This window comes from Homo sapiens, chromosome 4, assembly GCF_000001405.40.
Source record: "Homo sapiens chromosome 4, GRCh38.p14 Primary Assembly".
Lineage (NCBI taxonomy): Eukaryota > Metazoa > Chordata > Mammalia > Primates > Hominidae > Homo > Homo sapiens.
This window is the reverse complement of record NC_000004.12, coordinates 84,729,345-84,754,169: the sequence shown is the minus strand read 5'-3', so window position 1 is coordinate 84,754,169 and position 24,825 is coordinate 84,729,345. Positions and strand designations below refer to the sequence as shown.

General features: G+C 36.4%; 1 protein-coding gene across 29 annotated transcripts in view; it reads left to right on the top strand.

Moving 5' to 3' along the window:
• WDFY3 (WD repeat and FYVE domain containing 3) overlaps positions 1–24,825 on the top strand; it is a 297,094-nt gene that overhangs the window by 212,521 nt on the left and 59,748 nt on the right. For 27 of the 29 annotated variants that reach the window (XM_011531759.3, XM_047449858.1, XM_011531763.4 and 24 more), the window contains 10 exons: positions 294–473; positions 2,454–2,687; positions 10,371–10,470; positions 12,249–12,409; positions 13,754–13,983; positions 15,051–15,160; positions 16,804–16,986; positions 17,843–18,000; positions 19,050–19,127; positions 20,561–20,788. In XM_011531759.3, the coding sequence (XP_011530061.1) occupies positions 294–473; positions 2,454–2,687; positions 10,371–10,470; positions 12,249–12,409; positions 13,754–13,983; positions 15,051–15,160; positions 16,804–16,986; positions 17,843–18,000; positions 19,050–19,127; positions 20,561–20,788 (1,662 nt within the window). Of the gene's footprint in view, positions 1–293; positions 474–2,453; positions 2,688–10,370; positions 10,471–12,248; positions 12,410–13,753; positions 13,984–15,050; positions 15,161–16,803; positions 16,987–17,842; positions 18,001–19,049; positions 19,128–20,492; positions 20,512–20,560; positions 20,789–24,825 lie in introns of those variants that run through there. The other 2 variants (XM_011531766.3, XM_011531767.3) reach the window with 2 other exon arrangements.

The window sequence follows — 24,825 nt, the reverse complement described above, 5'->3', positions numbered from 1 at the left end:
ATGGTAATAATAATGAATAATCAAAACCACTGATTCTAGTTAGCAGACCTGCGATTAATCTAATGATTAGACAATGATCCTATCAGTTTCTAAGGGGATTTTTTGTTTTAGCTAGTTTCTAAATTTCTTTGCATGTGTGTATACATGTGTGTTTGCTCATATGTGTGGTTTACAGAGTTCTGGACCATCAATATATCCAGTTTCATAAGAATACTGAGTAATGGATTTTTAAAATAATTTATAGCAGTGTCAATAACTGTAACATAGTGTTTCCTCTCATGTCCCCATAACAGCCTTGGCAATCAGAAGAAGAGGGATCTTGGCTCCGAGAATATCCTGTGACCCTGATGCAGTTCTTCAGATATTTGTATCACAACGTGCCAGACCTTGCCTCCATGTGGATGAGCCCTGACTTCCTGTGTGCATTAGCAGCCACCGTCTTCCCCTTCAATATTCGCCCTTACTCAGAGATGGTAGGAAAGGGGGAGGAAAATGTCAGAACTGGAATTAGAATGTCAGAACTGGAATTAGTCTGTTTCAATGGTTAGCAGATTTTTTTTGACAGTCTTTTAAGTTTCTGACCAAGTTACAGTTTCATAACTTTATACATCACCTCTTGCATTATTGTCCGGTGTCCCCAGCTCCCCACAGTTTCCTTCTGCTTTCTCCTAAAATCACAGTGAACTCTACTTCCTTTTCTCATTCACCATATTCTTGTAAGTCCCTTGTTAGTAATTTCCCTTTTCAAGTAGTTGATTCATTTATTTTACGCGATGCCAGCTGTGTAGTTGTAAAATGTTCTTTTCCATTAAGATAACTCTAGTCTGACCAAATTTATTTATTTTTTATTTTAGGAAGTAGGTATTTGCTGGATTTAACTTTTGCCAATAAATTATAGGGTTGAAAGCAAATGTTGGTCCTTTCTTCCGCCTGACTTTTCTTTTTTCATTAAAGTTTTATTTTGCTTATTTTGTACTAACTTAAAAACTATTAGATTATAATCACATATAGTATAGATACTCTTTTGTTCTTTAAAATAAGCCCAAAAATGCTGCCTGGTTTCCTGCTTTGAAAATGTATTCACGTGGAAATTCACTGAAGCACATTTTTGCAGAGGGCTTGCAGGATAGTTTCATAACTTTAGAGTCTAAATACTATTCATTACAGTAACTAATAGTTCAGTTGACATAAATATTGGTGACTTTTCAAAACGAATGAACTACTGTAGTTTACACAAAACCATATAGCAGGGGCTTATCACTTACTTTTGCACGTTGATGTTGATTAGCTAATAAACTGTAAACATAAAACAGGTTTAAAAATAAATAGATAAAACACACCCAAAAGATAGTTATTCCTCCATAGTACTTCAAAATTTCATGATGTTTCTTCATATTTCCACCATATACTCTAGGACCTGGGATAAATGACCTTCTTTATACTAATTTTTCTCCATGTATAAAGGTACAATACTTATTCTAAAATGGTGGGGATTTTTAGGAGAAAGGCAAATGTGACACATGACCTTAATACCTTGGCTTGTTTATAATTTTAGAATCCTTATTTTTGGTTTAAAAAAAAAAGACCTTCAATAATATATCAATATCTTTTCCTTGTCAGCATCTTTTTTTTTTTTTTTGAGACGGGGTTTCGCTCTTGTCATCCCGGCTGGAGTGCAATGGTGGCACGATCTCGGCTCACTGCAACCTCCACGTCCCAAGTTCAAGCGATTCTCCTGTGATTCTACTGCCTCACCCTCCTGAGTAGCTGAGATTACAGGCATGGACCACTACGCCTGGCCAATTTTTTTGTATTTTTAATAGAGATGGGGTTTCGCCATGTTGGCCAGGCTAGTCTCGAACTCCTGATCTCAGGTGATCTGCCTATGTCGGCCTCCCAAAGTGCTGGGATTACAGGCGTGAGCCACTGTGCCTGGCCATCAGCATCTTATAATTTGTTTGCTAGTCTCGCTCTGTCACTTGGTTCAAAATTGGCACCAATATTGTTGTTTTTTTTTTAAATTTATTTGGGGTTTTTTTAACCTATAATAAATGGATCACCCCTTACATGCTACCATTATGCCAGATTTTTATGTGAAATTCTGTGACATTTGACTTCACAGTAGGGGTAGAGTTCAAATATGGAAACATATTTATTCTAATTTTATTATTCCATATATTTTAAGTGCAGTTAGCCACAATAGACATACAATTCAACTTAAAGGTGACGTATTGTTAGTGGTCAGTCAGAAACACCATATGTTGCGTAACCATGACATATGGTGCCAGATTACTACCTTGAAAGGAAGGGTCGAGTAAAGCAGAGTGAAATAATGTGCTGAATAGCTTAATAGGTGGAAAATGCTGCTGCTCCAGTTTTATTTTTAGGAAACACAGAAGTAAAAATGTCAGAGTCTAATGTGATTACCGTATCTTTCCACTTGATTTTACTAGGTGACTGACCTTGATGATGAAGTTGGATCTCCAGCAGAAGAGTTTAAAGCGTTTGCAGCAGACACAGGGATGAACAGGAGCCAATCAGAGTACTGCAATGTGGGCACCAAGACATATCTGACCAATCACCCGGCTAAAAAGTTCGTTTTTGACTTCATGCGGGTCTTAATCATAGACAACCTCTGTCTCACTCCTGCCAGCAAGCAAACTCCACTAATTGATCTTTTGTTGGAGGTAAAGAAAAAGAAACGCATTTACATCTCTTTTGCATTACTTTTTAAATTAGAACATTAGTAACCAAACAAGTTCTATAACAAGGATTTCTAATTCCTCTTGTTTATGTGTAGGCAGAACATGTTATAGGCTGTGGAAAGTTCTTAATCCCACATGTGCTTTAAACCCTATCAGTTTGTTCTTTTCCTTCCCTCAAGGATGTCTCTAATTCAGTCCTTTATCATCCTTTCTCTAAGAGCTGGCGAACTTCTTCTGTAAAAAGCCAAATAGTAAATATTTTAAGCTTGTGGGCCATACGGTCTCTGTCACATCTGTTCAAGTATGTTGTAGCTAGAAAGCAGCCATGGACAATACGTAAGAGAATGAGCATGGCAGTGTTCTGATAAAACTTTATCTACAGAAACAGCACAGGCTGGATTTGGCCCACAGGCCATAGTGTGCCAACCCCTTCCCTGGACATTAACAGTGCCTAGTGGCATTGTCTTCTTACCTTATAATTTCCTACATCAATTTCTCTTACCTGTCATTGCCAGGTATTACTGTTGTCAGTGTCCTGTGCAACTTAAGACATGGTGCATTGTACAGAACAGGTGCCCAGGATGTACTTGTTAAATTCCCCAAGGCAGCAAACTTCTAGGTTGGCTGCCTGCCCATTCTCCTGACAATTGATATGAATCAACTGATGCATCAGAAAATGAGAGTGGCTCTAAGCCTTTAAGTGACCTCATTGCTGCCTCTAGAAATTAGCTATCCCAGAAAAGCATTAAAAAATGTTTACCTAGAAAAGTCTGAAGATATCACAGAGAGAAAATTTAATACAATGTAATTAGTTGCATATACATTAATGTTCTTTTGACCAATTCATATAAATAAGGTCAAACAGTCCATGCCAGGGGCTCTGAAAATAACATGTTTTATGAAAGAGTAAATCTGTGGAGAAGACTGCTTTTCTCCCTGAGGAACTGCACTGTCTCTCAGCAGTTTGACAGCTGAACCTGAGATTTTTTTTTTTTGTGCTCCCTCTAGTGGCTAGTACAGTTAACTTATAAATAGAAACCTGAAAACCACATGTTTATCTTATTCATGCGAAAGTATCTCAATTTGGTCAATTTTTTTTAAAATCACTAATGTAATTAGGGTACCAGTTATGCTAAGCATTTAACCAGGATGACAGTGTTTAATAATGGCAGGAGAATAATTGGTTTCCTCACTAATGCATGTGGTAGAATTAAAAAGCAGGCCCAATGGAACGTCTCCCCTTTGGAAACTTTAAAAAGCTCTAAGAGAGATGACCAGTATCTTACTGTATAGGGTAAAAATTTGAAGCATTTTATGAAAAAGTGAAATAGTTTATTGGAAAATAATAGGATAAAGTCCAGAAGAGATGTGTGCAAGAAAGCATAACTGATCAAAAAAGGAAAATACATACATGAAAGATATGGAATGACTGGAAACATACAGTGATAGCATTTTCAAGCTTCTGGTACCTGAATAGCTAATTAATTACCCATATTTAAATTGTATAATTGCCCTTTATTTTTGTTTTCTATATTTTTTAGTAGGAAGAATTTGATATATAATAACATGTATTAACCTTGAAGTAAGGTTCTCTTTGTTGTGGGCATGAATTTGCCCTACGGTAGAATAGTGCTTCAATATACTAGCGAGTAGGAGTACAGTTCAGGGAAAAGCAGGGGGTGTCAGGATTGAAGCTTCCAGATAGATTATAAACTGCTTAGAGAACAACTTTCATGTGTTCCTTCATCTCTCACAACTTTTAGCACAGTGCCTTGGTGTATTCTGTCAGTACAGTAAGTCCTCACTTAACGTCATTGATAAGTTCTTGGTAGCTGCAACTTTAAGCAAAATGATGTGTAACAAAACTAAATTTTTTTCCTCGTCAACCTTATAATAAAACTAGGTTGAAGGAAATGATGTTATTTGAGGACCTGCTGTACATTGTTTCACTTAAAGTTGCAGTTGCCAGGAGCCTGTCAATGACATTAAGTAAGGCTTAGTGTATTTTTGAATCATTTAACTATTAACTTCATCCCTGGAAATTCCCAAACAGGAAGATAGGATACTATCTAATAAAGAACATAGAAATTTACTTTTAAATATTTTGAGTATCTTTAATATACATATGCAGAATACATATACAAAAAAAATTATATTAATGAAATATTAACATTCTATGTCTTCCAATGGTGTAACAGAATAAATTATAAACATATGATTTTGAAAATTATGATTATGAAGTCTTTATCCATGAAGAGATTCAAGAAGAAAATTAGGTTGAGCATGGTGGCTCATGCCTGTAATCCCAACACTTTCTTTGGGAGGTCAAGGCAGAAGGATTGCTTAAAGTTAGGAGTTCAAGACCAACCCGGGCAACAGGTGAAATCCCATCTTTACAAAAAAATTAGCCATAGCCAGTGTTGTGGTGCGTGCCTGTATCCTACCTACTGGAGGCTAAGGTGGAAGGATCGCTTGAGCCCAGGTGTTCAAAGTTGCAGTGAGCCGTAATTACACCACTGCATTCCAATGCATTCCAGCCTGGGTGTCAGAGTGAGACCCTGTCTCAAAAAAAAAAAAAGAGAGAGAGAATTATCTTACATATTTACCATTTACCTTTGTGAAGGAAGGGGCTTGAACATCTGAGTCCAGTAAATGTGAACCAGAGCATCTTCAGTCCTATGAGTGTTAGAATTTCATCATAAAAGTATCTACTTACTTGATTATACCTACAAAAGAACATGTAAAATTATCTTCATTAGCAGTAAAATTCATTAGCATAAAAGTAGGAGATTCCCATTCATATAGACTGGCTTTAGTGTGACTGAGGCCAAATACAAGGGAAGTAGTGTGGTGTGGCAGAAAGCTAGAGCATGGGTTTGAGAGTAAGAAGTGCCTGGGTTTAAATTCTGGCCCTGTTGTTTATTATATAAGCATTTTCATCTTCCCAAGCTAAATTCATTCTCTAGAGAATGATATTATTTACCATCTCTCTTACAAGATTATTGTGAGGATTAAATATATGTACATCACCCAACAAAAAGTATTCTGAGGAATTACATGTGTGCTGGATATAGCTGTGTGGCCTTGACCAAGTTCAATTCTCTTCACATCTATACAATTTACACATCTGTAAAATGATATAAAAGTGAACCTCTCTCTGAGAATTATTGTGAAAACTAAATAAGATTTAATATTCATAACACAGTGCCCAACACTTAAACATACTCAAAAAATTGACTACGTGGCCTGTGTTGGCTTCTACAAGGGTGCCTGGAGACTCTTCTCCTAGCTCCTGTTTATCAGTGCCCTGTGCTGTCACCACCAGACTTCTCATGAAGAGCCAAATGAATTTGCTGCAAATAAATACCGTGGCAATGGGAAGAAAGTGCATGAGAACAGCTCAAACAGATTTGTGTATACCTGGAGGTAAAGATAATGAAACTGAGAGGGTGCTGACTTGGAGTGCGTGTTAGTCCAAGCTCACACTACTAATAAAGACATACCCGAGACTGGGTATGTCTTCATAAAGGAAAATTTATAAAAATTTTCCTTTATATAAATTTTATAAATTTATAAAAATAAAAATTTATAAAGGAAAGAGGTTTAATTGACTCATAATTCAGCATGGCTGGGGATGCCTCAGGAAACTTACAGTCATGGCAGAAGGGGAAGCAAACACATCCATCTTCACATGGTGGCAGCAAGGACAAGTGCAGAATGAAGTAGGGGAAAACCCCCTTATAAAACCATCAGATCTCATGAGAACTCACTCACTATCACAAGAACAGCATGAGAGTAACCACCCCCATGATTTAATTACCTTCCACTGTGTCCCTCTCATGACTTGTGGGGATTATGGGAGCTACAATTCAAGATGAGATTTGGTAGGGGATACAGCCAACATAAGCACATTGCTATGGTCTGAGGAGTTCACTGGACTCTATGCCAACCATCTTCTACAAGAGCTCCCCATTGTCATACATCAGAGTGAAACCCACCCTGAGGAACTACAGGGAAACAAGCAAAAAACAATGGCAAATTGGGCAAAGAGAGCACCACAAAGTAACTCAGAGAGGAAAAATCAGTCAACAGGCAGACTACAGTCAGAATCAGGAGTCTCAAAATCCTATCTTTAAAGGCTTCCAGCCCATTACAGAAACAGGACAGAATTCCAAAGGCCTTCCTTCCATAGCCACTGTGCTGTCTACCCATGGGCAGCAGATGCGTAAGGGCTGTCTGGCCTGTGTGTGGGACACAAAGATCCTGGGTAGTGTCCCCAAGACCTTAAAAAGGAGACTGATGGATATGTTGACTGGCTTTGCTGTTTTCACCAGGAAAACAGATCTGACCACCAGAGTCCAGAGCAGATCACCGTGCCTGTCCTGCCTTCATTCTGGTTGTCTGGTGGGCCAACCAGTCTTATCTAAAAGAGTGATGAAGAGATTGTAGCCCACACTTTGCAGATTTGCTCTTGTGCTTTTAACTTTCATAAGGAGATTTTAGTAGAGTGGGGAGAGTATGACATAACTGGTGAAGCCATGGGCTTTGGCTTCACAGAAACTGAGATTTGAATCCTAGTTGTGACTTGACCAAGTGACTTACTCTCTCTAAGCCTCAATTATTTCTAAAATGGGGATGTTAGTATCTATTTCAAGGGTATTTTCCTGACTATATGAGATAATGTATATATATAAGCCCTGTGTCTGGCACAAAACAGTAGTCCAGTGAATTGTTTAAAAAGAAAAAGAACACCTCCGAGACAATAATGCATGCTTTCATAAAATGTTAAGTCCTTGAAAAGTTAGACTGCTATACATCTCAGTAAGAACATCAAACTAGGCCACTAGGACCAGTAACAAGTGTAAATTCTGGGTCCTCATCATTCGTGTAACAGTTTTATTGAGATGAATCAGAAGATTAAATGCCTGTTGATGACTGAGCCAGTGTTAAATCCTTCTGGAATAAGAAAGAATATTATTTTAATAAAAATAAATGTTATTCACCAAGCATTTCTGTACGTTTAATAGTCCCTTTGTTTTACAGACTTCAAAACTTTTTCTAGTTAAGATTTGATAAGCCCTACTCATTACTAATCTCATTAACCACCTTGAGTTGATTATGAACCTGAAAGAGTAGCTTTCTTTTTTTAAGACAGGATCTTGGTCTGTTGCATAGTCTGGAATGCAGTGGCACAGTCATGGCTCATTGCATCCTTGACCTGCTGAGGTCAATCAATCCTCCCAACTCAGCCTCCCAAGTAGCTATGACTACCGGCACACACCACCATGCCAGAGATTTTTTTTTTTTTTTTTTTTTTTTGGTAGAGACAGGGTTTTGCCATGTTCCCCAGGCTGGTCTTGAACTCCTGCGTTCAAGTAATCCACCTGCCTTAGCCTCCCAAAATACTGGGATTATAGGCATGAGCCACCGTGCCCAACCAGGAGTACCATTTTTTTCAAAATGTTTATGTCCTTCTGTGACTGGACAGCTTTATTCCTTAGCAAATTATGATGACTCAAGCTATTGGAAAAAATGGTCTCTGATATAAGGAAAGCCTCCTGGAACTATCAGTCTGCTGTTAATCACTTAAAAGTCCTCACATCCTCTTCAGTTTATAGGGATAAGACTCCCAATGTAGTATCGGCTTGAAAGGACTAGACAGGCCTTGGTCACAAGTCTCCTGCTCGCTATTGTATTAATCTGTTCAAATACACAGGAAAATTTATAAAGATAAAAACATGAGATGTTCTTCACTTTTTCCCAAATTAGTTTAATGACAAACCAAACTCCTAAGCACTGGTATTCTTTTAATTCTTACTAGACCCATATTTTGTCATTTTAAAACAAAATGAATAGTCTCATGCAGAAGAAAGAGCAATTTTCCTTACAATTTTGGTTTAGCTGTTGGCTTTTGAGAACTTAAGCTAGTATTCTTGTTCTCAATGTAGAACTTTTATTCTAGCTACTTTCTTAAAACATTTAATAGGACCACCTTGAAAATCAGAATAGAAGGGAAAATAGAACAGCATTCCAAAAGCCCATCTTTGTAACAGGGTCATAAATACAGTCCTGGATCTCTCTATTCAAGAATAAGTAGGTTCTTCCATTTCACTTGCAAAACCTCAATACTGTGCCTGAATCTAAAACATACAGATCTCTTTTTAAGAAAGGAAGTTATGACATTTATTGAATTGTTTAATATCCAACTCCTATCAAAAACCTGGCTGAAACTACTGGCATTTGAGGATGACAAAAGGCTCTTTCCTACATCTCATCCCTCTGTTCCCAGTTCCTTGCTACTCACTGGATCAGATACTGGAAAGTTATGCACCTGGATTTTCATACCCTAATTACAAGTAGAATTGTTGTCAGTAGACTACAGTTTAACTTTGTGCTCTACACTTTAACATAAGATAATTTTCAAAATCATCTTTGTACATTGTAAAACTTAACAAAGATACCACCTATATAGGGTTGTTCACCGTCCTCCTTACAAAAACCCACAGAGAACATTCCTGTCAGAACAATTTTAGGAAAACATATGTCTTTGCTGACAATCTATTGTGTTTTTCTTTCCTTCTTACTTTTTTTTTTTTTTTTTTTTTTTTTTTTGAGACGGAGTCTCGCTCTGTCGCCCAGGCTGGAGTGCAGTGGCGGGATCTCGGCTCACTGCAAGCTCCGCCTCCCGGGTTCACGCCATTCTCCTGCCTCAGCCTCCCAAGTAGCTGGGACTACAGGCGCCCGCCACTACGCCCGGCTAATTTTTTGTATTTTTAGTAGAGACGGGGTTTCACCGTTTTAGCCGGGATGGCCTCGATCTCCTGACCTCGTGATCCGCCCGCCTCGGCCTCCCAAAGTGCTGGGATTACAGGCGTGAGCCACCGCGCCCGGCCCCTTCTTACTTTTTTTAATAAAAGGTTCTTGCTGTATTGCACAGGCTTGACTCAAAATCATGTGATCCTCCCACCCCAGCCTCCCTAGTGGCTGGGACTGTAGGCACTTGACGCTATGTGTTTCTTTTTATAGACAATAAAAAGCTTTGTAAACCATTTTTTTCTTGACATCTATGAAGCTCAGAGCTAAATTGTGTGCTTAGTTTTTTGTTACAAATGTATTTCCCCTCCCTATTGACATGCCCTCTTGATTACTAGATTCTTGGGTTTTTGTATTAGTTTTAATGGCTTTATAATTCATTTGTTATTTATTTTACCTGTATTTCATTGTAAACCACCATATCTCTTTTGGAAGTGAGGTGTGATAATAGTCAAGTATTTATTATATTATTGTAGTTTATATTGTTATAAACTGTTATAACAGTTTTTATATAACAATATTATATATAGTTTTATATATTATATATACTATATATTATATAATATAAACTATAACAATATAATAAATATAATGTTTAGAATACTATGTTTTAAATAATGGATTCAAAAGAAGATGATGTTTCACCTTTGCTTTAAATTTTTTTTAATTCTGTAGTCAGAAAATACGTGAAAGACCATAAGCATAGCATGTATACCATCTCTCATGGCATTTAAAACAAATTTATTAGTAGAATTTTTTAATCTTTTTAATATATTAGGTAATGTAAATGTGGTTGAGCTCATATTTTTGTTTTAGTTGGTTCTGTTTCTAATTCTAAATTTTCTTGATTAGGCTTCCCCTGAAAGGTCTACAAGAACTCAGCAAAAAGAATTTCAAACTTACATTTTGGATAGCGTGATGGACCATTTGCTTGCAGCTGATGTGTTATTAGGTAATTCTGTGTTTTTATTTTATAGAAATACCTATAATCACTTTCCTCTCTAAGCCCCAAGTAAAACTACTTTTTAACATCAGCTTTTTTCTTTCCTTTTTTGTCTAGCTTCTCATACTCAACATTATATTTGTGAGATTTGTCTATCTTGTTGCATGTAGCAGGAGTACATTATAGTATTTCATCATGTGAATATATGAATTTGTCATTTTACTCTTGACAGATATATGAAAGTTTTCAGCTTGAGATAATTATTTTAACAGCTGCTATGAACATTCTTGTTCATATGGACCACATAGGTGTACAATACTTACACATAATCTGTTGAGTATATACCTATGAGTGGAATTGTTAGGTCATAGGTATATGTATGTTATCTTTTTAGTATGGCTTCCAGGACATAGAGTCAAAACACATTGAAATGTGTTTTTTCTGTATGTCTGTATCTAATTACAATACAAATATAAAACTTAATACATTTACAGTGAAGCCAACATTTGTGTATAAAACAAAGTAGAATTATAAAAGAAGGAAACATAATGGGTTAGTATACTATATGTGCTACTTTTGAGTTCCTAGCAATAGTGCTAATCATATAACCTCTGTGCTATTAAATTACAATTTTTTTCCCGAAGTAAATTTGCCAGGAAATCTTTAGTATTGTCTCAACATGCAACTGTGCACTCTCAAGTCAATTCACACTTTTGTACTTATTCTTACCAGTTTAGAGCAGTCATACTACACAAAGACACAACACAAATAATTTTGCTTAATGGGGCAATTTAGCATTAGGTGAGAATAATAAAAATCAAATTCTGTGGCACCTCCAGAATTTCTGTGGAGGAAGGGCTTAAAGCAGTGGTCCCCAACCTTTTTGGCACTGGGGACCAGTTTCATGGAGGACAGTTTTTCCACAGACTAAGGGGGGATTACGGTTTTGCGATGATGCAAGCATTACATTTATCATTTGATTCTCGGAAGGACTGTGCAACCCTGGATCCCTTGCATGCACGGTTCATAATAGGGCTTGCACTCCAATGAGAATCTAATGCCGCTGCTGATATGACAGAAGGAGCTCAGGTGGTAATGCTTGCACACCCACCTCACACCTCTTGCTGTGTGGTCCGTTCCATGGCCTGGGAGTTGGGGACCCCTGGCTTAGAGGAAGCATTCTGGTTAGGAGGAGGAGCTAGGAGGATTAGTCTGAAAGCAATATGTATATGGCAAACACACTGAAAACACTCGGATAGCTTTAGAAAGAGAGAGAGCTGATGGTAATGATGGAGGGGCTAAACACACCCCTCAACAATGATTATACTTTATTTTTCACAGTTTTCTTGAAGCTCTCTTCTGTCTGTGTTACTTCACTGCTATTAGAGCTATACACTAAAACAGAGTTTTGTTTCACAGTTTTACCCTTTATTACATACACAAAATCAATTAAGAGCTAATAAACTGGCCCGTTTTCTCTCAAATGGAGAACAGCTGTGACTGACAGTTTATGTTGAGGAACTGCTTGTTTATCACAGACTCTCTTTAGGCAATAGGAGACTCCACAGGTAGTTTCAATCCATAACGCTTTATCCTGCTGAAATTATTTATCCTGATTTCTGGCCATTGAATGTCATTTTCTTCAAGTAGTGCATAAAAGCTAGTAGTCATATTGCTACCTGTTGTAGATACACTTATTTTACCTTAGCCTGATTTTTTTTTTGAGGATCTGGTCCTGTGTTGGTAGATATCAATTTTCTTAGACTTTTTTTCCTACTGGAATTTAGGGGAAGATGCATCTCTGCCTATTACCAGTGGAGGAAGCTACCAGGTATTGGTGAACAATGTGTTTTATTTCACACAGCGTGTGGTGGACAAGCTTTGGCAAGGCATGTTCAACAAAGAATCTAAACTTCTTATAGATTTTATAATTCAACTAATTGCACAGGTAATCCATTGTCACTATCAGTTGTAGAGTACATGTTTTCCTGTTTTGCCTATGGTGTCAAAATTGTTGAAATTAAATATAACTAATAAGATAATGAATGTTAACATTTAAGAAAAAGCTAAGCTTATTAAAAGTGAATAGAGACAGGCTGGGCGCAGTGACTCACACCTGTAGTATCAGCACTTTGGGAGGCCAAGGCAGGTGGATCACTTGAGGTCAGAAGTTGGAGACCAGCCTGACCGACATGGTGAGACCCTGTCTCTGCTGAAAATACAAAAATTAGCCAGGCATGTTGGTGCGCGCCTGTAATTCCAGCTACTTGGGAGGTGGAGGCAGGAGAATCATTTGAACCTGGGAGGTGGAGGTTGCAGTGAGCCAAGATCACAGTACTGCACTCCAGCCTGGGTGACAGAGCAAGACTCCGTCTCAAAAAAAAAAAAAAAACTGAATAGAGATACAGACTTTGAACCCCTCCCCTATTACCAATTGCCTGGTGCCAATGTGTCCTTTGTAAAGTTGCCTAGGTATTATTCTTTGCTACCCAGATAGATTTAAATACCTTAATACAGTAATACAGTTTGGTAGGTTTGTACTGTATACTACATCCATGTGTAAAGGCTTACACAGCATGAAGAGTTGATATTAAAAGAATATTCTCTTATCAGTTGAATCTTTACAAAGTTCCTTGTAGTTTATATTCTCTTGAAGTTGTTATTTTTTGTGCATGTTCACAGTACTTTTAATTAAGGGTTTGGCCTGGTTTGGCACAATTGATTAATCTTATTTAATACTTAATGTAGAAAGTAAGAAATAATTGTTACATGTTTTGTTAGCATATGCTACACAGATACATAGGCTCTGTCATGTCACCTAAGACTTTTCAAAGGGATATATTTGTATTTAAGCCAAAGAGAAAAATTCTCAAATGAGGGGATGAAATTAGAATGTCAAAAAAAAATGATTTTAGTAACATCTTAATTTTTTTCAGTACTTTTGAATATAGATCATTTATCCTAACAAAATATATTTGTGAGGAGACTCCCCTAGCTGTCACATCCTCGTGTTCTCAGGGAGACTGCTCTGCCCCACAGCATCGTTAGTGGCTCTCCTCCCTGGGAGCTCTTTTTTTTTATGTAGCCCTCATATCATTCATTAGATGATATTGATGTGTCTCATGGGTTCTGAAATCCATAATAGTAAGAGCTTTGTATCTTTTAACTTAGCACCTGCATACTTAGCATGGCATCTGGTATATAATAGACCTAATAAAAGTTCATGTATGAATGATTAACAGGTGTTTTACTTTTGTCTATTATACTAAAAACATACCTTTCATGTCTTTAGTCAAAGAGAAGATCACAGGGATTGTCACTGGATGCAGTGTATCATTGCCTCAATAGGACCATCTTGTACCAGTTCTCACGGGCACACAAAACCGTTCCTCAGCAAGTAGCTCTGCTTGATTCACTCAGGGTCCTCACTGTAAACAGAAACTTGATCCTGGGACCTGGGAACCATGACCAAGAATTCATTAGCTGTCTGGCCCACTGCTTGATAAATCTACATGTTGGAAGGTAAATCCTTTAGGTTCAGTTTGCCATGTTAAATTTGGCTTTGATGTTATTCCAACAAAATTCTTTATTTTTTTTGATAGTAACATTTCTTTTACCCTTACTCTGTTTTATTTAAACCTTTATGTAAAAAGGTAAAGGGCAAGTGTTGAATTTTTGCAGTGAAATAATGGGTATTTTTTTTTCCTTTAACTTAGTTTTCTACACCTTTAAAATTTTCCATTATCACCATATGTCACTTATATAAGGAAGTTTGCTTTTAAAGCAAATAAAATATATACCATTGAAATCTAAGAGAAGTAAAAAGTGAAGCTCAATGCAGTGTTATATGTTAAATGAGTAAAATTAGTATTTTTCAGTTGATTGCTTTGACAGATATTTCATTAGAGTCTGCCGGGGCCAAGCATTGAATTAGGGGCTGGGACAAAATGTGAGTATGATAGACCCTGTGGCAGCCTTCTTGAGGGGAAACAGCTAAGCAAGACCAGTCAGCTGTATTGAGTGATCTGCTAGGAACAACCCAGTGCTTTGGAGGCACATAAGAGGGGCCCCTAACCTGAAAGAAATACCTGCTGAGCTGCAGCTTGAGACCTGGTTGGGGAGGACAAGAGAATGGAGACAACTGCTACTGGAGGAAAGAACAGTCTGTATGAATGCCCAGAGGGAAGAAGGAGTGTGGCACCTCAGGGGAACTGCAACTACTTCACTACAGGAGCAGAGTAGTGAGATATAAGACTGGAGAGAGGACACAGGCATATTAGAAAAATGTTCTTAGTTGAATGAACATTTTGTAATTATTAGGTAAAAATGTTCACAATAATCAAAAGGCATGTTAAATATTAAGGTAATAATCTTGATGCTATAGATCAGTCTAATTACATTTAGTCAGGTGGATTTATTTGATCACCTCTTAAAAATGGCATCTTCCTGGCAAACTAGAATTCTGTTCTGTGCATCTGCTGAGTAGACATTCAGTGTCTGCTGGTAATGGAAATAGAGTAATTCTTAGTTACTGTAGTCTTCAGCTAATCATTTCCTTCATAAAGTTTAAACTGACTGGAATTTTTCAGCAACGTGGATGGATTTGGACTGGAAGCAGAAGCCCGCATGACCACATGGCACATTATGATCCCCTCGGACATTGAACCAGATGGTAGTTACAGCCAAGATATTAGTGAAGGTAATTGCCTTGACTTGGGATGTTTTTAAATTGTGGTTGTTTTATCTCCAGTTTTTAAGACATAACCAACAAATTGGCTTCAGAAACTGCCAGCATTGATAGCAACTCTCCCAGTAGGGCAACCTATACATAAAGAGTCTCCTCATGCCAATAACAGTAAAGCACTAACCAGTAATATTGCTAAGCTCATCATTTCTTAGTAACACTGTGAGATTTGGTGGTGGTATTAATATTTACATTTGCTTAAGTAGAAGTACAAATACTACCTTGGAATTAACTATAAAGAGAACTGCCCAATGATAATGCCAGGCATATCACATTAGAGTAGGCTAATATTGCTTGAGACAGGTTATCAATAGTGCTATTTTTTATTCTTCTTTATACTCTCTCTCTTTTTTTTTTTTTTTTTAAACAAAATCTTGCTCAGTTGCCCACAGTGGAGTGCAGTGGCACTATTTCAGCTCACTACAACCTTTACCTTTCGGGTTCAAGTGATTCTCATGTCTCAGCCTCCTAAATAGCTGGGACTACAGGTGCACATCACCACGCCTGGCTTAATTTTTTTTTGTATTTTTAGTAGAGACAGGATTTCACCGTGTTGGCCAGACTGGTCTCAACCTCCTGACCTGAAGTGATCCACCGGCCTTGGCCTCCCAAAGTGCTGGGATTACAGCTGTGAGCTACCATGCCCAGCCCCTCTCTTTTTTTTTTCAATCTGGTTTTCCCACTAATCCTGTAAGGATTGCATATTGAAGTCTTTGTATGGATTGATTTCTTATTTCCACATGTTTAGTGATAAAGAGAAATCACTCTGGTGGTGTTTGTCTCCCCAGAAATACTGTGCGATAGTTTTACATATGGTTTCATTGTTGAGAAGCCCAGCACTCATTTTAATTTCATTCCTTCATTTAAACATGAATTTATTCTCTGTTCTTTCACCAAAATGTTTTGAACCCTAAACACCAAAGATGCGGTTATTATTTTCACCCCCTGAGGAAGTGGCGTTGGTTCTCATAGCAAGGTCCTCAGAATAGCAACATCAATATCATTTGGGAACTTGGTAGAAAAGCAGATTCTGTTGCCCTACTCTGACCTACTGAATCAGAAACCCTGAGGTGAGGGACTAGCAGCTTGTTATCACAGGCCCTCAGGTGATTGCTGAGGGCCGACTGGTCTGGAGGAGGAGTCAGGCATACAAACAAGGAATCCAAAGCAAGAATGAATTTCATAGTAAAAGTCTTTTCAAAATATTTCTTTTCTTGTGCAAAATATTCAAGAATACTAACTTAGTTTTGAACTCACCTTAAACATTCAGATTTAAAAATTACTTTTAAATGGGGGATAAGTTTTTAATCTAGAAAAAGTTAGTTAATTACATATATATAATTTCCAATTTTATAAATAAAAATGTTCTTTTGTATGAATATAAAGTTTTTTTAATGTTTTCTAAATAGGCAACCACAGTTTCAGTTGTCTAAATAACCTTTTCACTGGGCTAGATACAACATGAGCTTTGTTTTTTTTACATTAAATACTGTAGTCGAAATTCCCACATGTAAACATGAAGAAAAATAAAAACTAACTTTATACTGTGTTTTGATCATTTGCTTACTTTTTTGTTTGTTTGTTTGTTTGTTTACTAGGGCGTCAGCTTCTCATAAAAGCTGTCAACAGAGTTTGGACTGAACTGATACATAGTAAGAAACAAGTCTTAGAGGAACTTTTCAAAGTAACTCTACCTGTGAATGAAAGGGGCCACGTGGACATAGCTACAGCAAGGCCACTCATTGAAGAAGCTGCCCTGAAGTGCTGGCAGAATCATTTGGGTAAGGCCTACAGAGATCATACCACCAGGAGATTTACATGTGGCTATCATATATGGGTATACTTTAAATATGTGACTACAGCATTCACAAAAGGATTCTATAAAGTCATCCTTAAAATCAATATAACAACCATTCTAGAATGATTATACTGAGATCTTAGTTCTCTTTGATTTTTTTTTTTTTTTTTTTAGCATCTGAGGTATGTTATACATCAGGCGTTTATGCATTCAGAATGTAATGCATTGCTAACAGCTCTAGTATTGTCACTGTCTTGGCTACAGGTCCACAATCCCTTAACTATAATTTTGAAATTCAAAAAGCTCTGTTTTTTCATTAATTTGGTGCCAAAACTGACTTTATAACAGAACCTAATTTATCTTTCTTTGTCCTACTTGGTATGGGAATATTCATACATTTTGTTGCAGTAATATTGACGTATTAAATTATAGCTTATTACCATAGATTCTCTGGTGGCATTATATAATCTAGTGTATAAGCTGTATAGCCTTTTAAAAATCCAAATAGTTTCTAAGTTGCGAAGTATACCCAACACCAAAGGTTTTAATTAGGTGATTATGAATTATTAATATAGAAACTCGTTATAGTTAAATTTGCATGTTATTACAGAGCTGTGAACTTTCAACCAACTATCAGTTCAGCTAATACAATTTGCGAGCAGTCATCCTTAAGATTACCAATAAATAAATTTGTGATATCTGAATGTAATATCTGCATCTGTAATATGTGCTACTTTTGTTAACTACAGGGTTGTAGTTTATAACCAGATAAGTTTTTAAAGTAAGACTCATAAATACATGGAGAAATTATAAAATAATCTAATTTGATTTTTTAATAGCCCATGAAAAGAAATGCATAAGTCGAGGAGAAGCTTTAGCGCCCACCACACAGTCCAAATTATCCCGTGTCAGCAGTGGCTTTGGTCTTTCCAAGTTAACAGGATCAAGAAGGAATCGAAAAGAAAGTGGTCTTAATAAACACAGTCTTTCCACCCAGGTACTTTTTTAGTTTCATTGCTGATATTAGTTGTAGTATTTTGTATAATATACTTAACATGTACAAGCAATTGATTGGAAATGAAACTTTTCTGTATTTTTGCTTTAGAATAGAGATAGAAGTAATCCAGACTATGGGAATTTCTCTCATTTTCTTATGATAAAACTATATATGAGTGCTATTTACTTATACCCATTTTATAACTGGATATAAGATGAGATTTAGAGATTAATGTATGATCAGACTATAGATAATTTTCTCTCAATTTTCCCAGCTTTCAATAATGTTATTACTAATAATTATATAAATTTTAAGGCAATAGCCAAACAAGCCTTTTTTAATTTTTACAATCTTGTTGTGTATACCTATGGTTTTTTAAAAGCTCATCTGCCTCCAGCATTAACTTCTTCCTCATCCTACTTCCTTCACCATCCCAGAATCTAAGTGGCAGCTATGAAAAGGATCTGAGAGAAATAGTATGTGTCAGCCATCTCATGCATCAGGTTAGGTTTTCTAGGAAGCAAACTCTGAGATGGAGTTTAGTGTGCATAATGTATATTAGGGGGTGCCCTTGGGATCAATACCTGTGGAAGGGAGAAGAAAGCAGGATTGGACATAGGGAAAAGTCAGGCTGCAGTGCTGGTCTAGTGACAGCCTCAGCCAAGCTAAGTGGAGCTTTGAGGACAGAATACCCTCTTATAATTGACCTCCATTAAGCTGAAATGTGTGAGTCTTCTTACCCCTAGATCGTTGGATGTGGGGCACCCCGTCGGCCCTCTGCAGCTAAGGCCATCCCTGAGGGTGTTGAGAGCAGCCCAGACACGTGGGCAGCAAGCCCTTCCTTGAAGGGGCTTTGGGGGTGGGAGAGCATGCAGATCTGTGTCCATCACACAAGCATATAATTCATTCTGAATTTTTTGTTTTAGTTTTCTGTTTTGGTGCTTTTGGCAGAATTTTAACCAATTATTTAGCATTAATTTCAAGGGTAATTAACTATTTTTTTCCAGAAATCCATGAAATATTAAGACTCTTTTTCCATCCATTGTTAGGAGATTTCGCAGTGGATGTTTACTCACATTGCTGTTGTTCGTGACTTAGTAGATACACAATATAAAGAATATCAGGAGGTAAGGACTTATAATCATCATAATGGTTTGTTTTACATTTTTTGTATGTGAAAGGTCTCTGTTTGTCCTGGTATCTTTCTGCCCATTTTAAGGTACTTGCTGGACTGCATTCGTCATCAGATGATGGTTTTAATTATTCCTGCCATCAGCTACTTTGGCTACTGATTTTAGGATGGAAAATTTTAATCTTCTGTCAACAAACTGCATTTCAAAAAGCAACTAACTGAAAATGAGCCCAGCTGAATTCTGTTGACATTCACTACTGATATGTTACATGTCTTTGTTCCTAATAAAAATAAAAATGTAAGAATGAGCCTTCTTTTTCAGGCTTTTAACAAGGAGATTGTGAAAATACGCATCCAAGTCTCTGAGAAGTCTCTTAAAATTGTAAAAAATTACAAGATTGAATGAAATTATTTTTTACTATACTACAAGTGCTTGGTGATTATGTCAGTGAAAAATAAATTTATTGAAATTCTCTTGGTAAATTCATAATTACTCAAAAGCTTATCTTAAATATTTTATTCTCAGATTAGCTATTTTGGATCTATTAAAGGTTTCTGAATGGTTAACTGCTAATATTTTACGGATATAACACTAGATCCTTAGTTTCCCCAACCAAAGAACATATCAGTACTACTGTGATAGATAATTTTTTAATTGTTCACTCAGTAATCTTTACTGTCAGTTATATTTTAGAAATCTTTATTTTTAGATTTAAATTGTATATACTTATATTCCATGAATCATTGGGCAAGTTATTTGTCACTGTCTACTGTTGAAATGTTATATATTTGTCATTTGATAGATAAGAACTTGTACTGTGTCATAATTTCCATTTAAAAAATGGTTTGGATCTATCCCAGTGGCCAGAAGAAAATGGTTTCTCTTTGATTTTTGTATGAACATCAAGTTTCCTCTTAGTGCTGCATGTTTATATTCTTCATCTAAAATCTTTGGAAATGTTTACCTAGTTCACCAGTAATCAAGCCTGTTGGCACTTTTTCTTCATCTGACTTCCTAGAATATCCCCCGTACATGTTGTGGTAGCTATTTTACAGTTTGGTGTATCCTTAAATTACCATATATATTTATTAACGCACATAGGGCTAACCATTTCAATATAATTCATAGTAATATTACCATCTTTCCTGTGCCAGAGAAACAAACTTCTTTCAACTCTCTGTTTCACTATATTGCACACTCTACCCTATCCATGTCTGTCATTTACTTGATGCTTTAAGAAGTCCACCTTCTACAACAAAACCTCTTACTTTAACCATAAACAAATGTAATTTTACTTTTATAATGTTAACTGAAATGGTGTGGATTGTGTTTGTTTCCAAATAATAACTTGATTTTCAGTGACTTGTAGACTTGTTACTGTTACTCCTGCTTTTGCTTGAAAACCGACCTGGACTCTTTCCTGTCAGCGTCAGCAGAATGCCCTGAAGTACGTGACAGAAGAGTGGTGTCAGATCGAGTGCGAGCTGTTGAGGGAGCGGGGGCTGTGGGGCCCTCCCATCGGCTCCCACCTCGACAAGTGGATGCTGGAGATGACAGAAGGGCCCTGCAGGATGAGGAAAAAGATGGTGCGAAATGATATGTTTTATAACCATTACCCTTACGTGCCAGAAACTGAGCAAGAGACAAATGTGGCGGTGAGTATGCAGAATTCAATGATCACAATGGCTCTTTCAAGTTTTTATTTTCCTCTGTAAGCGTTTTTTCTCTATTTAGTCAATTACCTCAAATAGCTAATTTTAAAAATTCAACATACGCTATTAAATTGATAACTTCAGAGTGGAGGTGGAGTGAAAAGATGCAACAGTGCAAGAAGGAGACATCATAATAAAGAGGTTTAGATTACAGACTCCAGAGCCAGACTGCCCAAATTTAAGACCTGACTCTGCCACTTTGCTATTATAGCTGGGTTATGGGTCATTAAACCTCTCTGAGTTTTCATTTTATTATGCCTGAATTGGAGCAAATAATAGTTCCACCTCGTAGGACTGTTAGGAGGATTTAGTTCATTAAAATTAGTTAAGTACTTAGAATAGTGTCTGGTCCAGAATAAGCACTGTATATTAGAACACATGAATCTTCTAAGTAGCTCTGATCATATAAGGTGAGGCAGCTTGAATTGTTCCAATGCCTCTTGTTTTTCTCTGACAAACACCCTGGCTCCATTTATCTTGTACTGATTGGTTTAACCCCAGTCCTGATGCTAATATAGAGCTTAGCATCAACTTAAGTGTCTATCAGCAGAGTAATAGATAAAGAAAATATGCTGTGTATACATAATGGAATAGTATTCAGCCTTAAAAAAATAAGGAAAGCCTGTCATTTGTAACAACGTATAAGAACCTGGAGGACATTATGTTACATGAAATAAACAAGGTACGAAGGACAAATACTACATGATCCATCTCACTTATATGGGGCATCTAAAACAATCAAACTCAGAAACAGAGTAGAATGAAGGTTTCCAGAGGCCAAGAAGTGAGGGGAATAGGGAGATGTTGGTCAAAGGGTACAGTCAGATAAACAGGAGGAAATCATTTTTTGAGATCTATTACATTCCATAGTGACTATAATTGATAATAATCTATTGTACATTTCAAAATTGCTAAGAGTACTTTTCAAACGTTCTTGGCACAAAAATTGTTAGGTATTTGAGGCGATGAATATGTTAATTAGCTTGATTTAATCATTCAAACCATATACATATAGCATTACTTTGTACACCATAAACAATTACAATTTGTCAATTAACAGTAACATTTTTAAAATAATAATATGCGTAGGTCTTAGCTCCTGCTGATAGTTATTAAGATTTTGGAAGATAGCTCTCTAAAGTCTACTTTTCTCAAAGCTATTCAATTCTGCCAAGAATGCCATACTTGATGCAGCTGTGCCTTAAAGCACTATAATTTCTAATTCTGGAGCACTGTGTAAAAAAGGTAATCCACCCATATTTTTGCAGCCTGTTACTAGCACTTACTTTTATAAGAGCAAAGCAACAATATGATCTTTCAGTTCTTAATCTTTTTTCCCTAACAATCTATTAAGAATTTAAGCCATTAGCAATTTGATAAAATATTTCTTATTGAGTCACTTCTTAAATTGAATCCATTCAAGAATACTAAAATATAAATATGCTCTCCCAAATATATGACCAGCTCACTGTTTAGATTTAACTGAGGCATTTACTTTTGAATTATTTTTACAATAACCATAATATGTTTTATCTATACTCCTTTCCTTCCTTATAATAATGTCATTTGTTTACAAAAGTGTATTTAAACTTCTATATCAGATAAAAACAAAGTACCCTATTAAGAGTTCACATCTACAACCGTAGTATCATCAGCATTTTACCTAGGCAAAGGAATTCACCAACCTGTGAAATCGAAACAGACACGCTCATAAATAAGTATGCACCAGATGGAATTTATTTTTTTAACAGGTGGGTTACATATTGGAAAATACTAGACAGTTGAGAAATGTTGGAGATGCTTTCACCTAAAAGGAAAAAGCAGTCAGGAAGGAGAGACAGGTACAGAATGTAGAATTCATACTGCATAGTTCATGCACAAATCAAGGTCAGGATTAATCTGCTATGATGAAATTTTCTGAAGTAATTTTTATTTTGGTTTTAGTAGTTCACATCTTTTGTAAATTTGAAATGCCATTAAATGTCAACTTGTATCTTTTGGAATGTGCATTCCGGCAGAGTTAAAAACAAATTTTCAAAAAGTGGTAGTATCTATTATCCCACTGAATTCTACCATCAAATCAAAAAAGAGGAGCTAATATTTACAAAGCACAATGAGCTAGATCAAGGTTGTCCAATCCGAGGCCCACAGGTCACATATGGCCCAGGATGGCTTTGAATGCAACCCAACACAAACTCATAAACTTTCTTAAAACATAATGAGACTTTTGCCAGGCGCAGTGGCTCACACCTGTAATCCCAGCACTTTGGGAGGCCGAGGCAGGTGGATCACCTGAGGTCGGGAGTTCGAGACCATCCTGACCAACATGGAGAAACCCTGTCTCTACTAAAAATAGAAAATTAGCCAAGTGTGGTGGCGCATGCCTGTAATCCCAGCTACTCGGGAGGCTGAGACAGAATTGCTTGAACCAGAGAGGTGGAGGTTGCGGTGAGCCGAGATCACGCCATTGCACTCTAGCCTGGGCAACAAGAGCAAAACTCCATCTAAAAAAAAAAATACAGAGAGAGAGATTTTTTTTTTAAACTCATCAGCTATTGTTAGTCTTAGTGTATTTTATGTGTGGCCCAAGACAATTTTTCTTCCAATATGGCCTAGGAAGCAAAAAGATTGGACACTCCTGAGCTAGATGCTCTATAGAGCAGTTTGAATGCATTTTGTTTCAGTCTTATAACAGCCCTCTGAAGTACAGTTAATATTGTTATCCCAGTTTTACAGATGAGAAACTGAAACCTAGAGTAGTTAAGGAACCCCTTCTAGGCTGCAGCTGCTAAATAGTGTAGTAAGGTAGGAGTATATTTCAACAGTCCCCTAGTTGAATCACTTTGAAAAAGAAAAGATTCTAATGTTTGCCCATTTTATGACATTATCCATTGATAGTGAATGTATTCCATATTAGGTTTTATCTCTCTAGTGCTAACAAAGTGCCTAATACTTAGTGAATATTGAGTGAATGAACTGCCAGCACTCTTGTCTTCCCTAAGTTATAGACTTTTTTCCTTTGCTTTCTCTTTAGCATTCTATAGAATTTTCCTAAATCTAAAACTTTTCCACTAAAATGGCCTCGAATTCAATTTTATGGGCCCTGTAGTTTATGCAGTTTAAGGAGAGGGCTCTCTAAGAAAAAGAGTAAAAATTATGAATATAAAATTAGTAGGGCTTTGTTTCCAGGGTTTTGAAAGGGACTCAATGGAAGTGAAGGCCACTAAAGTTTAAACTACCTTAACTTCATAGTAAATCCACCTCTGCCCTGATCTATATTAAAAAATATTGCCTCCCAGAGTTAGAGATCAATCAGTTCTTTCCTTTAAACTTCCATGAATTTATTGCCCTCCTTGCATGCATGTTTAATATAGTCAGTACTTTTTGTGATAGAATAGGTTTGTGCCAACCTAAAGTTGCTTTTGAAGCCTCTTGATATTTAAAAGAGACTTTACCTGGTGCAAGGGCAAATGATTTGATCTTTTGCCTTATTGATTAAAATAATTATTATTTCTCAGTAACATTTCCTTTTTTTGTCCTGTCCCTTAAGCTGAAGAATACAGTGGTGATTCAAAAGTTAATTTCTTGTTTTAAAGTCTTTGATTTGTTAGAAATAAATCAGGTGATTTTTTTTTTTTACTCATTAAAGTTTTATTTCTTAAACTTTGATAATGTTACATGCTGTATAACAAATAGCTTACCTAGTCTAAGTTTTGAATTTTATTTATTGATTTTAAATTGGATGTTTGTGTATAGAATATGGAACATATTCAGACTTTAAAGCGTTAATAGTTTATCAACTATAATTATTGTAATAAAAATAGTAATAATTATTAATATCGAGAAAAATTAAGTACATATGGAAAATTCTGTATTCTCATATAAAAATGATTTGTACTCTTCACACAGTAACCTTCCTTGGGGAGTAATTTTCATAATTAAAACAAATGAATTATACTATAATTCTGTATTTTAAACAA